The sequence below is a fragment of the Homo sapiens genome, chromosome 16 (assembly GCF_000001405.40).
Source record: "Homo sapiens chromosome 16, GRCh38.p14 Primary Assembly".
Lineage (NCBI taxonomy): Eukaryota > Metazoa > Chordata > Mammalia > Primates > Hominidae > Homo > Homo sapiens.
In genome coordinates, this window is record NC_000016.10 from 32434115 (window position 1) to 32447871 (window position 13757).

Below are 13757 nucleotides of genomic sequence, written 5' to 3' on the forward strand. Positions count from 1 at the left end.
AATTTTCATAAAGCAGGGAAAAAAGAAAAGCTGGTATGAGGAAAGAGACCACTCACTCGAGTCCTGCAGTATTATTCTGCTTCTGCCTATTCCTGTCTGCTGGCTCCAGGCTAGCTTCTACAAAAAGAATATCAGGCTGGTTCCAGGAACTGGCAAGACATAAAAAATTAATTATTTATACAAGTAGAGTCACAACAGCAATAATAGATAACAATAATGTCACAAGTAAATACGATCAACAAATATTTAAATTTCAATTTTAAATTATTTTCACCTTTATCCTCTTCCGCCGTTCTCTGCTGCTAAAATAAAATTGGCTAAGGATCATCTTTCTCTTGTTCCTTAGTTTTGAGTTACTGATAAAAATTAGACTGGAAAAATAGAAGCTATTAGGAGAGTAAATAAATAATTTAATTTACAAATGTAAGATCAGCTTGGCAATTGGATTTTTTAAAAGAAATAATATTAAATCTCAGTCACTAGGAGGAAATCATTTATCATCTAATAAAAGTCCTCACATAATAAGGTTGTCATAAGAATTAAATGAATTGATAAATGGAAAGCTTTAAGAATGATACCTGACATATGATGAATGCCATATAACTATAAAAATATTATTTCTAGTTTCACCATTATCGTCATCATCTCTTAAAAGTCAATGGGTTTGGTTTTTGTTTTTGTTTTTTCTGTTGGCAGTTCTTTTATGTTCAAATCCTCTTCTAAACTGTAAGATTCTTTCAAGGTGGTTTTCTGCATGATTATTTTTTTCTCCCTAGCATCCTCCAGCATACTGGATCATGTTCAGTACATTGAAAGTTATGATATAAAAATAATACCATTTTAAATTATTGATTTAGGATATAGAAATTGATCTTAAATTGAGGGGTTCTTTTGCCATAATGTTCCATATCAGAGGTAATGTTTCTACTATTATGTTGTTACTTTGCAACTCCATCGAAAATATGTTATATATTGGTATTTAATTCCCCCAAATTTTAAGGCAATTTCATGCCTAGTTATTAAACACAAGGAAAGAGAGTTAGCAAGAAATTTGCTTTATGTTATTAAAAATAATGTGGTAGAAGGTAACTAGGGAAAAAAACCTGTGACCCAGTAGAGTCATTCTAAAACAAAAACTTCAAAGGAACTCAATCTCTGACCTGGCAGGGGATGAGGAGTGAAGGAGAAAGAAACTTACTACTATCTGAATACCTACTCTGTGCCAGGTATTCTTCACATCCTAATATTTAATTTTCACAACCGTCCAGTAAGATAAGTATTTTGTTCTTCGTTTTACACGTAAGTAAGTAGAAGGTTAGAGAGTGTGAGTCATTTGTACAAGGTCACTAGCCTGGTTGAAGCAAAAATAGAATTCAAACCCAGTTTGCTAGATTCCAAGCCTGCTGTCAGTTCTGCTATAACCCAGTGCCCCCTGAATAAGGACAACAATGAGAAGAAGGGCAACAAATCCTAGAGAACCAGAAGAAAACTTAATATTTTATTTTGTCTTCTTGTAGTCAAAATCCACTGGTACACGATAAAGGCAACTAAGCAAAACCAGTTTCGTTAGAACTCCTGGTGTTATGAGGGCAACACTCAAAAGAGATATTTGAATAGAGGAACACTGAGAGGACAAGAGTGCAAAATCAGCCGAAAAATGTTTGCATGCTGATTTGTCACTATTGTACTCTTCCTCCACATATATTTGCTAGGAAGAACATGGAACTGATGAGTAACTTATGAAAATTACTGAGTACTTTTTTTTTCTAATAGTCTAGTACTAGATTTTGTTTATTTTAACAGAGCCATTTACATTATATATTAACTCAGTTTAATATTTTTCTTTATGCCCCATTTTTACCCCTAAATGTAGGCTGTGTTAGGTCCTCTGGCTCTAGAAACAGCAACAGTCTCCGCACCCCACTTGGAACCATATGCAAAGGATGTGATGACAGTAGCATTTTTAGCCATCTTGATCACAGCTCCAAATGGAGCTCTACTTATGGGCATTCTGGGGCTTAAAATGCTCACACGCCATTATGATCCAAGCAAAATAATACTGCAATTGCCAGCATTAGAACATCATTAAAAAGTTTACCTGTCATCATCTGCCTACTTCTTTTAATGAATTATTTCACATGACAGAAGAATTTTAAAGTAGAAATATGTAGAAAATCCAGGATTTCGGTACAGGGCTTTTCTTGGACTTTTTACTCCAAAGTTAATTTAATAAAAATAATATTAAATGGAATGCTGTCTTGGTATTTACATACTGTAAGAACAAATTAAATCTGTAAATACCCTAGGAAAGTTTAAAGTAATCCCTCAGGCTGAATTTGATATCATAATGCAAACTGAGCTTAATATAAAATTAAACAAACTTAACGGCAGAAAGAAAAACTGAATGTTGAACTTGGTAAGATAGCCTAAGTTTCCAAATAGGAGGAGTAGAACTCCCTATGATATCCAGTAATTCAGTTAAAAAGATCACTACAAAAAGAAAAAAAAGGGAGTAAAACACATCAACTTTAAATGGGTTAACCGAATAGATTTTAAATTCTGGTTTTGGTGACTACCTGAATAAATAATATGTTAAGTAATAGAACCAAGTTAGTCTTTCCTTATTTCTGCCATGCCCTTAAAATGAAAGTCTGGTTTAGCGGTTTTTAGTTGAAACACTATCTATATTTTTATTTATAGAAATAAAATTAAATCACAAATGGAAGTAAACTATATTTTTTTCAATTAGTATTTTAAAATCTAGACATAAAAGGCAGCCTCCAAAAATGAAAGACTTGGAGACTACTGTCATGTGGCAGTTTCTTCTCCTTAGTAATATAAAATTACCTTTTAATTCTGGCTGATTAAATCTGCCATGTTAATGTAGAACCCATCACAAGCAAAGTGAGTTTTAGTTAACTTCAAGACTCTTTATTTTAAAGTTATAAGAGTCATATAAACACTTCTAAAATGGCCTTATTGAATGGCATTTTAGAAATTCTTTAGACTTCTTTGGCAAAAGCTCAATGCAAGGACTGAATATTACTTTCATTCCTCTTTTTCCTCTTCTCACAAGCAAGATATTAAAATACCACAGAATATGAAATTTACACATACATTTGCCAAGTGAAGCAATTAAAATTTAAGGCAATCAAAACTATGTGTTATCCCTATTAAGACTAAGGGCCTTTACAGAATATATCACCGAAACTGCCAAAAGTTCTAAAACCGTCTGGGAAACAACTCTTAGAAAATACACTCTGGGAGAATAACTCTGGGAAAAGATAAAATAGCTACTGTTTTAGTGACATTTTCTCTTTATAGTTTTACAACAAAGTACAGACTCCATTTTCAAATATTGTAATTCTAGTACTCAAATTCTAAAAATTTAAACTGTGCCAGTGTTTTGACTACTATTTAAATCATGAGGACATCTCATTGTCACTTATAAAAAAATAAAAATATAGGCAGGGTGTTGTGGCTCATGCCTGTAATCCCAGCACTTTGGGAGGCCAATGCGGGCAGATCACGAGGTCAGGAGTTCGAGACCAATCTGACCAACATAGTGAAAGCCCGTCTCTACTAAAAATACAAAAAATTTGTCAGATGTGGTGGCATGCACCTGTAATCCCAGCTACTCAGACGGCTGAGGCAGGAGAATCGCTTGAACCCAGGAGGCAGAGGTTGCAGTGAGCTGAGATCACACCACTGCACTCCAGCCTGGGAGACAGAGCAAGACTCTGTCTCAAAAAAAAAAAAATAATAAAATATATGTGTATATATATATATTTACAAGATAGTATTTTACATTCACAAGAGGATTAGATTTCAAAGTAGAAAGTTTATTTTAATAAAAGAGAGATAAGAAATAATTTTCAAAATGAGGAATTGTGTTTTTGATTAGGAGGAAAATTGTTGTACCTTTTCTTTTTATTCTTTATTTATTGAACTTTCTCTAAGTGTCTGTGATATATGTTTATAATACTGAAATAGTCGCCGTTTTAAGGTAGTGTGGCAGATGTTGTTATTTATTTGAAATTTTAAGTTTTTTATTTATAAAAAGTTTTTATAAAAATTTATTAATATAATTTAAAAATTACAACCAGTTAACCATGTGTATGATATTAGTGTTTATAGTATTTAAACAAATAAGGCTGGGCACAGTGGCTCACACCATCCCAGCACTTTGGGAGGCCAAGGCGGGTGGATCAGGAGGTCAGGAGAAGGAGACCATCCTGGCTAACATGGTGAAACTCTGTCTCTACTAAAAATACAAAAAACTAGCCAGGCATGGTGGTAGGTGTCTGTAGTCCCGGCTACTCGGGAGGCTGAGGCAGAAGAATCACTTGAACCTGGGAGGCAGAGGTTGCAGTGAGCCAAGATCACACCACTGCACTCCAGCCTGGGTGACAGAGTGAGACTCCATCTCAAAAAAATAAAATAAAATAAAATAAAATAAAAAACAAATAAATACAAGATTGTTGTTTCTTATAAACTTTTTTTGTATCTTTGCCTATTTTTTCACTGTTTAAGGAATTTTTATTAAAGCAAAATTTTATAATCCAAATTACCTTTCCTTGCTCAGTTATCAATTCTGTTACTTAAAACAGAAGTGACATTCTTAGCTATTCCACACTAATGAATTACAAAATTAAAGGAATGCTTTAAATTTTTATACTTTGCTGAAAATTATTTATCACAGAGTCTGAAAAGCATTACAGTGTTTCTATATTTTATTATTTTGGGAGGATTTTTTCTTTTCAAATCAATAAGTAATCTAGGACTATCATTGCATTTGTTAGATCTGACATCTGCTTGGTATGTAAAGTTCAAAGTTTCCTTTTTAAATTTATTTTATACTTTACAAATTTTTTCCATAGTATTTAAGGTTTTTGATATTGAGATATTTTTCTTCAGTGATGCTCAAGTTTCTTTCTGTGGTCCCTGATCAGTTTTAAACAATTGGAACACCAGTGGCACCATTAACTGCTTTCTGGGCAGCCTCTTTAGCTTGGTGGTCTTGTAGTACAGCTATACCTTTGTCAACCTTAGTATAGAGAGGCTCTGGAGATTCAAGCATATGAAGGAGTTCCAAATTACCAATCTCCAACAACATACCAATGATTTTACCAGCACGACTAGGGCATGGCTTGAAGAAGAGGAAACAGCCATTCACTCGTTTCCTTTTGCTTTTGAGGAGGAGCAGATGCCATCATGGAAGTCAAAGGTTCTTGACCTTCTACATGAACAGCAGGCTGCTTCAAGGTAACCTGGGGCTGTGCATGAAAATGCCATTGAGGATTGTGAGCTTCCATAGCATATTTATACTGTGAAATGGTACAAAAAGCAGGAGTATCTGTAGTAGCAGTAGCGGCAACTGCAGGATGTGCTCCTATTGTCTGTTTCGATGGGTTACAACAGCTGTGTTGACATGACTCATGGAAGCTATGAAGAAGCTGGTCTCTTACTACTAAATGTAGTGAGCTAGGAGCGGCTTGGGCATATTTTTCAATGGATGAGGTCTGGCACCCTGAGCAATTTAGGGAGGATTTGAACTTAGTTGAGCAGTTTGGCTAGGAGAATACTTTGCAGCATGGCTCTCAGTCTGTGGGATAACTGCCATGAAGTCAATTGAAGAAGGTGCTGGCTGATAGGAACTGATTCCCAGGTTGAGCATAGTTTTTACACTTGCCATTCTTTGCACATACTGCACTGGTTAATGAGCTGAGCCTGGTGCTCTTCATTGCTTTTCTTCCCATGGAGTTAACACTATATACAATGGCTCAGTGCCCTCAATGCTACCATTCATTTCTGAAAGTCCTTTAGTTGCTTCCTCTGGAGAGGAGAAACATACACAAATCAAACCCTTTGTTGTGACAACCATCCTTCATAACCTTTGCATTGGTGATTGTACCAAGTGGAGAAAGTTCTTTCCAGAGACATTCATCAATACCATCAAGATTTTTTGCATAAATGTTAACACTTTGTTATCTGGTGATCCTATACTGCTTGATCTTTTCAAATTTGCACACAAGTTCCATCTGCCATTCTACTTTTTTTCTGAGCTTGACCAACATCAATTTGTTTTCCATTGAGCTTCTTTCTGTTCATCTCATCTGCGCATCTTTATGCCTTTCAAAGCTGACAAATCCAAAACCTTTGGGTTTTCCACTTTCATTAACCACTACTATCACACTTAAGACAGATCCCAACTTGCCAAAGAGATCTTTAAGGCACCTACCATCCATGTCTTCTCCAAAAATCTTCCTGTAAACATTGGTGAACTTTTTAACTCTGAGTTCTGCTTCTCATTGTTTACAAGACTTAATCCAACAAAGACTTTGCTATCATTTAGAAGCATCCATTTCATTTTTGAATAGATCTTTCAGCTGCTTCTGTGTCTCAAAATGTACAATGCCATCACCCTTGAAACTGTTTTCACCACAAAGCACCTAATGTGAAAGTGATAGAGACAGGAGGCAGCCAAGGGTCCTCTGGTAAAACACCACCTTCAAGACTAAAACAGCCTGAAGGCTGATAAACTGGACTGCAGGTCCTGGTTGAAGCCGCCCTTTCCTCACTGATTCTGAATAATGCCCACCTGTGCACTGGGATTACGGGGTGGAGCCTTGGGAAGTTTGTGCGGTGTGCAGTGGAGAGGAGTCTGGCCTGTTCCCATGTAGTGACCTAGGATTTAATCTATGAGGCGGGAAACCTGCTAGCAGGACTCTTTCTCTCTTTGCTGAGAGTTATTTTTGCTTTTTCCTTTCCACCCAATAAACTCCGTTCCCCCTCACCCTTCAAGTGTTTGCGTGCCTTTTCCTGGTGGTATGACAAGAACCTGGTTTTTTCTGCAACAAAAAGATGTTACCAAAAGCAGATATATCATGCAATGCTTTATAATCAATAGATTTGTCCAATTTTTTTATGAACATGTTGCCCACTCCATTTTTGCGGAGTGATGGATCACACCGAGACCACTTAGTGTGTATTGGCTAGTCTTTTATAACATCAAAATTCATGGGGTCTTAACCACATTCCACATCCTGCGTTTCCCAAGGAGCGCCGGTGATCTGGTTCCTGTAGCCCGGGATAGAGAGGACCGGCCAGCAGGCCTGGTCATGTGCGGTGCGAGGACAGGGGATGGCTGGGACGCTGGGCTCACCTCTGCACCTGTCTGCCGGTAGGGCCACAGGCTGCGACCTTTCCGTGAAAGGAGAGTAAGGGCTGGGGCGGAAGCCTGGGCCAGCGCACAAACACAAAATCACCTGGAATCCCAAACTACTCCACGGCCGAGGAACTGCGACCCGCAGAGGGCTGGGACGAGGGTGGCGGTGTAGGGTCCAGCGTCCAGGCCTCGGGATCCTGTTCCTTCTTGAAGCTGCTTCGGAGCTGCGAGGGGGCGGGGGGGTCGCTCTCGGCTGCCTCACCGGGTAATCTTATACAAGAAGAAAAGGAAAATGTCTGTGGCAGTGAAGACAAGGATTTTTTTGTAAAGTGTTTTGCAGGGGTGACCGGTGTTAAAACAGAAACCTTTTTTTTTTTAAGTTTTTTTCATGGGATGTTTTTCGGGGGAATGGATTTTTCAAGATAATAAATATGTGCTGATCCTGGAGAACACACTCCACACTCTCAGCACTAACCGCTTGGGAGAAGGGACCCATTAATGTTTAATTGTACCTTCTCTTGTGGCCCCATTTTTTCCCTTTTAATTATGTAACATTGGAGCCTACAGAAAGGTAGAAAAAATGGGCACCCACATAACCACCACCTAAATCCCATTAATTGTTAATATTTTGTCAAGTTTTCTTTATGTAATTTTTCAATTTGAATTAAAAGTAAATTATAGGCATCATGCTAATTTGCCTCTGTATACTTAAGCCTGCATATTCAAAAACTAAAGCCATTTTCTTGCATAACCACAATTCCCTTATCCTTTCACACCAAGTTATCAGTAATTCCTTAAAATTATTCAACTCCCAAATATTTTCAAATATAAACAGTCATGCCCCATGTAACACATTTCAGTCAACTAGTCGACCATCTACACTGTGGTGGTCTCATAAGATTAAACTGGAACATATATAGAAACTTGATAAACAGTATATGGCCCTTGATATGGCATTGCAGCTCAAGTAGAGGAATGACTGATGCTCAGTAGTGGTGCTGGAACATTTGATTTTCCTTATAAAAAATAAATAAGTGAAAATATATAGGGCCAGATGTAGTGGTTCATGCCTGTAATCCCAGCGCTTTGGGAGGCCAAGGTGGGCAGATCATCTGAGGTCAGGAGTTTGAGACCAGCCTGGCCAACATGGTGAAACCCCGTCTCTACTGAAAATATAATTAGCCTGGTGCAGTGGCAGGTGCCTGTAATCCCAGCTACTCAGGAGGCTGAGGCACGAGAATTGCTTGAACCTGGGAGGCTGAGGTTGCAGTGAGCTGAGATCGCACCAGCACTCCAGCCTGGGTGACACAGTGAGACTCTGTCTCAAAAATATACGTATATACACCATCTAGGTTTGCATAATTACACCCTATGATTCACATTTTCTTAATTTTTTCCCAATTATAGCAATTTTTAAAAGCCAGGATCCAATCGAGAACTGGACACTACATTTTGTTTTTGTCTCTTATTTTGTAATCCAGTAGATTTCTCCATACTTAATCCCTTGCTAAATGGCATAGACTTTTTTTTTTTTTGAGACGGCATCTTGCTTTGTCACCAGGCTGGAGTGCAGTGGCGTGATCTTGGCTCACTGCAACCTCTGCCTCCTGGGTTCAAGAGATACTCTTGCCTCACCCTCCTGAGTAGCTGGGATTACAGGTGCCTGCCACCACGGCTGGATAATTTTTTGTATTTTTTTTTTTTTTTTGAGACGGAGTCTCGCTCTGTCGCCCAGGCTGGAGTGCAGTGGCGGGATCTCGGCTCACTGCAAGCTCCGCCTCCCGGGTTCACGCCATTCTCCTGCCTCAGCCTCCCAAGTAGCTGGGACTACAGGCGCCCGCCACTACGCCCGGCTAATTTTTTGTATTTTTAGTAGAGACGGGGTTTCACCATGTTAGCCAGGATGGTCTCGATCTCCTGACCTCATGATGCACCCTCCTCAGCCTCCCAAAGTGCTGGGATTACAGGTGCGAGCCACCGTGCCCAGCTGGTATTGACATTTTAAAGGAACCATGCTAGTTGTCACGTAGAATATCTCACATTCTGGATTTGTGGGACTGTTCATGGTTTCATTAAGTTTGTTTGTCTATCCCCTCAATTTTCTGAAGTTTGAAGTTAAATTTAAAGACTTGGTTACATTCAGGTTAAATTTTTTGGCCAGAATCATTCAAAGGTGATGTCGTATACTTCCAATAGTGGCACATTACGAAGTTTATGTCTGGTTGTCCCACTGCCAGTGATGCTAATTTTCATTCCTAAATTAAGGTGGTGATTGCCAGATGTCTATATTGTAATGGTATATTTTCCTCTGTAATTAGCCAGTGATCTCTGAGTTTATACCTTGGTACTACATGAATATTCATTTTTCATCAAATTTCTCAAAATTAGTAGACTTTGTTTTTTAGAGCAATTTTAGGTTTACAGAAACCAATGAGCAGAAAGTACACAGAGTTCCCATGTAACACTACCTTCCTATCCCACTCTCCACCCAATCCCTACCTCTGTACACAATTTACCCTATTATTAACACCATGTATTAATGTGGTATATTGGTTACAATTGATACATATTGATACATTATTATAACTGAAGTCCATAGTTTACATTAGCATTCACTCTTTGTGTTGTAAAGTTCTGTGAATTTTGACAACTGTATAATGACAGATATCCACCAGTATCATACAGAATAGTTTCATCACCATAAAAATCCTCTGTGTTCCACCTATGTATCCCTCTCTTACTTTCCTCAAATTGCTGGAAACCACTGATGTTTCTACATTATAGTATTGCCTTTTCCAGATAGTCATACACTTAGAACCATACAATATATAGCCTTCTCATGCTGGCTTCTTTTACTTAGCAATATACATTTAAGTCTTCTCCATGTCTTTTCTTAGCTTAATATCTGATTTCTTTTTAGTGCTGTATAATATTCCCTTGTCTGGAAGTACCACAGTTTGTGTAGCCATTAACTTACTGAAGGATATCTTGGTTGCTTCCAAGTTTTGGCAGTTATGAATACAACTGTTATAAACAGCCATGTGCAGGTTTTTAAGGTTTTAACAAACTCTCTCTGGCAGTTTCTGTTTTTCCTCACTTTTCAAGCCCATGGACTATCTCCCAGTGCTGTTCATTTTAATATTCTGCAGAGTACTTAAGCATTACAGAATATAGAAGCTGGAAGATACTTGGCAGTCATTTAGTCCCTCATGTTCTAGATGAGAAAACTGAAGCCCAGATACCTTATTATTTGTGCAGTCCCCCAATCTGAGTGTCAAATCCACCTCTCCCAGTTGTTTTCTGTTCAAATAACCCTGTGAACTTCAGTGAACCTCACTGACCACATCATTATTCACCAATAGTTCCCCAATAGATCCACTCTACATTAGCTCATTTCAAATGTTCTTTTTCCTTTCACGCACATACCATACAGTACTTAAAATTCTGTTGACAACAATCAATATGAATTCAAATTAAGTTCTTGCCCCAAGGATGTGACTTCTACTACACAGTTTCTTTTGGCCTGAGGGCAATTCCTAGGGCATGAACTTAGTCATATGCCCTCAACAGACAGCACTCTAAGGAAGCTGGGGAATGAGGGTCTCCATTCTGCAGGGAGGCCTGGACTACGCACCACAGAAGACACTACTCTGTCCATCCCTCATGTCATTTGGATCCATGACTTCATATAACTTCTCTCCATCTAGGAATAGCTCCTCCAGGATTTTGGTTGGTTTCTTTTGCTGGGGAAACGTGAAAGTAACATTCATGGAGGGAAAAATAGCTCCTTGGCTCTTCAACTGGTCTTTCACCCTAAACTGATCATCTGCCTTTCCTACTATACAGGTACTATCAGGTTTACATTCTTACCCTCAGCTAGCACCTCCACTGGTCTAGGTCACTTACCTGGTGATAGGAGAGGGGGGTGTAGTAGTCATGGCTACTAGACTTGTCCTTTTAAATTGAGCAATCAAAATTTAGTAAGGGACTACTTAAACATCCCTTGGCTGCCAAACACATTCCTGTCTACTTCCGTTGTGTAACAGCATTGAATTGCAGAGATAAGAAGCAGAAATTTCCCAAGTGAATCCCTGGGGGTGACGGTAAATAGTGCTACTCTTTCTTTAATCCATGGTCCTCTTTCTATTAGCGACATGGGACCATATAATGGTTACTGATCTAGGATATATGCTTGTATCCCATCCCTGCAGCTTCAAAGGGCTACTGGAGTCTGTTCCATCACTCCATCAGTTTGACAGCTTCTAGTTGTTGTGATTTCGTGATTTGTATTAGGATCACTGAAATGCATTTTCATGTGTCCACCACTGCAACTGCAGTGCTACAAAGTACATTCCCTTTATACAGTGCTATAAAGTACAATGCAAGGATGTGTAGGATTCCATATTGGAGGATTAAACATTCTGTCAATCCTTGGATAGTGGTGCTGGTTGAGGCCATGTAAGTAGGAAAGATAAATCCATACTCAGAATAAGTATCAGTTCCAGCCAAGATGAATCATTACCCTTCCTGTGATGGAAAGAATCCAGTGCATTCAGCTTGCCACCATGTGGCTACTTAGTGTCCTTGAGGGATGATGCTATCTTGAGGCCTCAGTGTTGCTCTGTCTTGATGACAACTTTGACATTCAGAAGCAGCAGTAGCTAGATAAGACTTAGTCAGTGGAGACTTCTGCTGTTTGGGCCTCTGCATAGCCTCCATCCTTGTCACTATATTTATTCACCAATTGTGCCAGTACTGAGCTGGCCAATGGAAGAGGTTGGCTAACATCATCTGGCTGAGTCACTTTTCTCCTTGGTTGTTGATAGATACCTCTTGTAGGTGTTAACATGTGAAACAAAGATCTTCATACTTTTTGTACATCCCCATAAGTCCACCCATATGTCCTTTTCTCAGATGTCTTTTTCTCCAGTCTTCCAAATTTTCTCCTTCCATCCCCCTGACCTGTAGCCAAGCCATTTGACCAAGAGTCAGTACATTCTTACTTTGAGTCTCTTCTCTTTCCATGCAAAGTGAATGACAAGGTGCGTAGTGCAAAGTTCTGCCTACTGATTTTTTTTTAATTTTTTTATTTTTTGAGACAGAGTCTTGCACTGTCACCAGGCTGGAGTACAGTGGCGTGATCTCAGCTCACTATAAGCTCTGCCTCCTGGGATCACGCCATTCTCCTGTCTCAGCCTCCCAAGTAGCTGGGACTACAGGCGCCCGCCACCATGCCCAGCTAATTTTTTTTGTATTTTTTTAGTAGAGATGTGTTTTCACCATGTTAGCCAGAATGGTCTCGATCTCCTGACCTCATGATCCACCACCTTGGCCTCCCAAAGTGCTGAGATTACAGGTGTGAGCCACTGTGCCTGGCCAAGAATTTATTTTTGAGTTGAATTTTTAAATATTAAAAAATTTTAAATATACAAACAAAAATTGTATATATTTGTAGTGTACAACCTGATGTTTTGAAATATGGATACACTGTGAAATGGCTAACTCAAGCTAATTAATACATGTGTTACCTCACATACTTATCATTTCTTTTGTGGTGAAAACACTTAAAATCTACTGTCCTAGCAATTTTCAAGTATGCAATACATTGTTATTAACTGTAGTCACCATGTTGTACAATAGGTCTCTTGAACTTGTTCTTCCTGCTTATCTTAATTTTTGTATCCTTTGACCAACATCTCCCCAGTTCTACCCTCCTTCCCCTCCCCTAATAACCATTATTCTCTTTTCTGCTTCTATGTGTTTGACTTTTTTAGATTCCACATATAAGCGAGATTACATGGCATTTATCTCTCTGTGCCTGGCTTATTTCACTTAATATAATGTCCTCCAGTTTCATCCATGTTATTACAAAAGACAGGATTTCTTTCTTTAAGGCTGAACAATATTTCATTATGTATATACACACCACATTTTCTTTAATCATTCATCTGTTAAAGGATACTTAGGTTGATTTCATATCTTGTCTATTGTGAATAATGTTGCAATGAACATGAGGTACAGATTTTTCTTTGACATATTGAATCATTTTCTTTGGGTATATAAATAGTACTAGGATTGTTGGATCATACGGTAGTTTTATTTTTAACTTTCTGAGAAACCTCTATATTATTTTTCATAATGGCTGTACTAATTTACTTTCCTGCCAACAGTATACAAAGGCTCCCTTTTCTCCACATCCTCGCCAACACATGTTATCTTTTGTCTTTTTCATAGTAGCCATTCTAAAAGGGATGTCTCATTGTGGTTTTGATTTGTGTTTCTCTGATGACTGGTGATGTTGGTTATTTTTTCATATTCCTGTTGGCCATTTGTATGTCTTCTTTGGAAAAATGTTTATTCAGATACTTTGCCTCCCTTTCATTAATCAGGTTATATGTTTTCATGCTATTGAGTTGTATGAATGCTTTATATATTCTGGATATTAATCCTTTATCAGATGTATGGCTTGCAAATATTTTCTCCCTTTTTGTAGGCTATCTCTTTACTCTATTGATTGCTCCCTTTGCTTGCACAGCTTTTTAGTTTGATATAATCCCGCTTGTCTATTTTTGCTTTTGTTGCCTGTGCT

The 13757-nt window shown here is 38.3% G+C and overlaps 2 pseudogenes; one reads left to right on the top strand and one right to left on the bottom strand.

Moving 5' to 3' along the window:
- SLC9B1P5 (solute carrier family 9 member B1 pseudogene 5) overlaps window positions 1-2251 on the top strand; it is a 48235-nt pseudogene extending 45984 nt beyond the window's left edge.
- On the bottom strand, window positions 4523-6464 carry PABPC1P13 (poly(A) binding protein cytoplasmic 1 pseudogene 13; annotated as a pseudogene).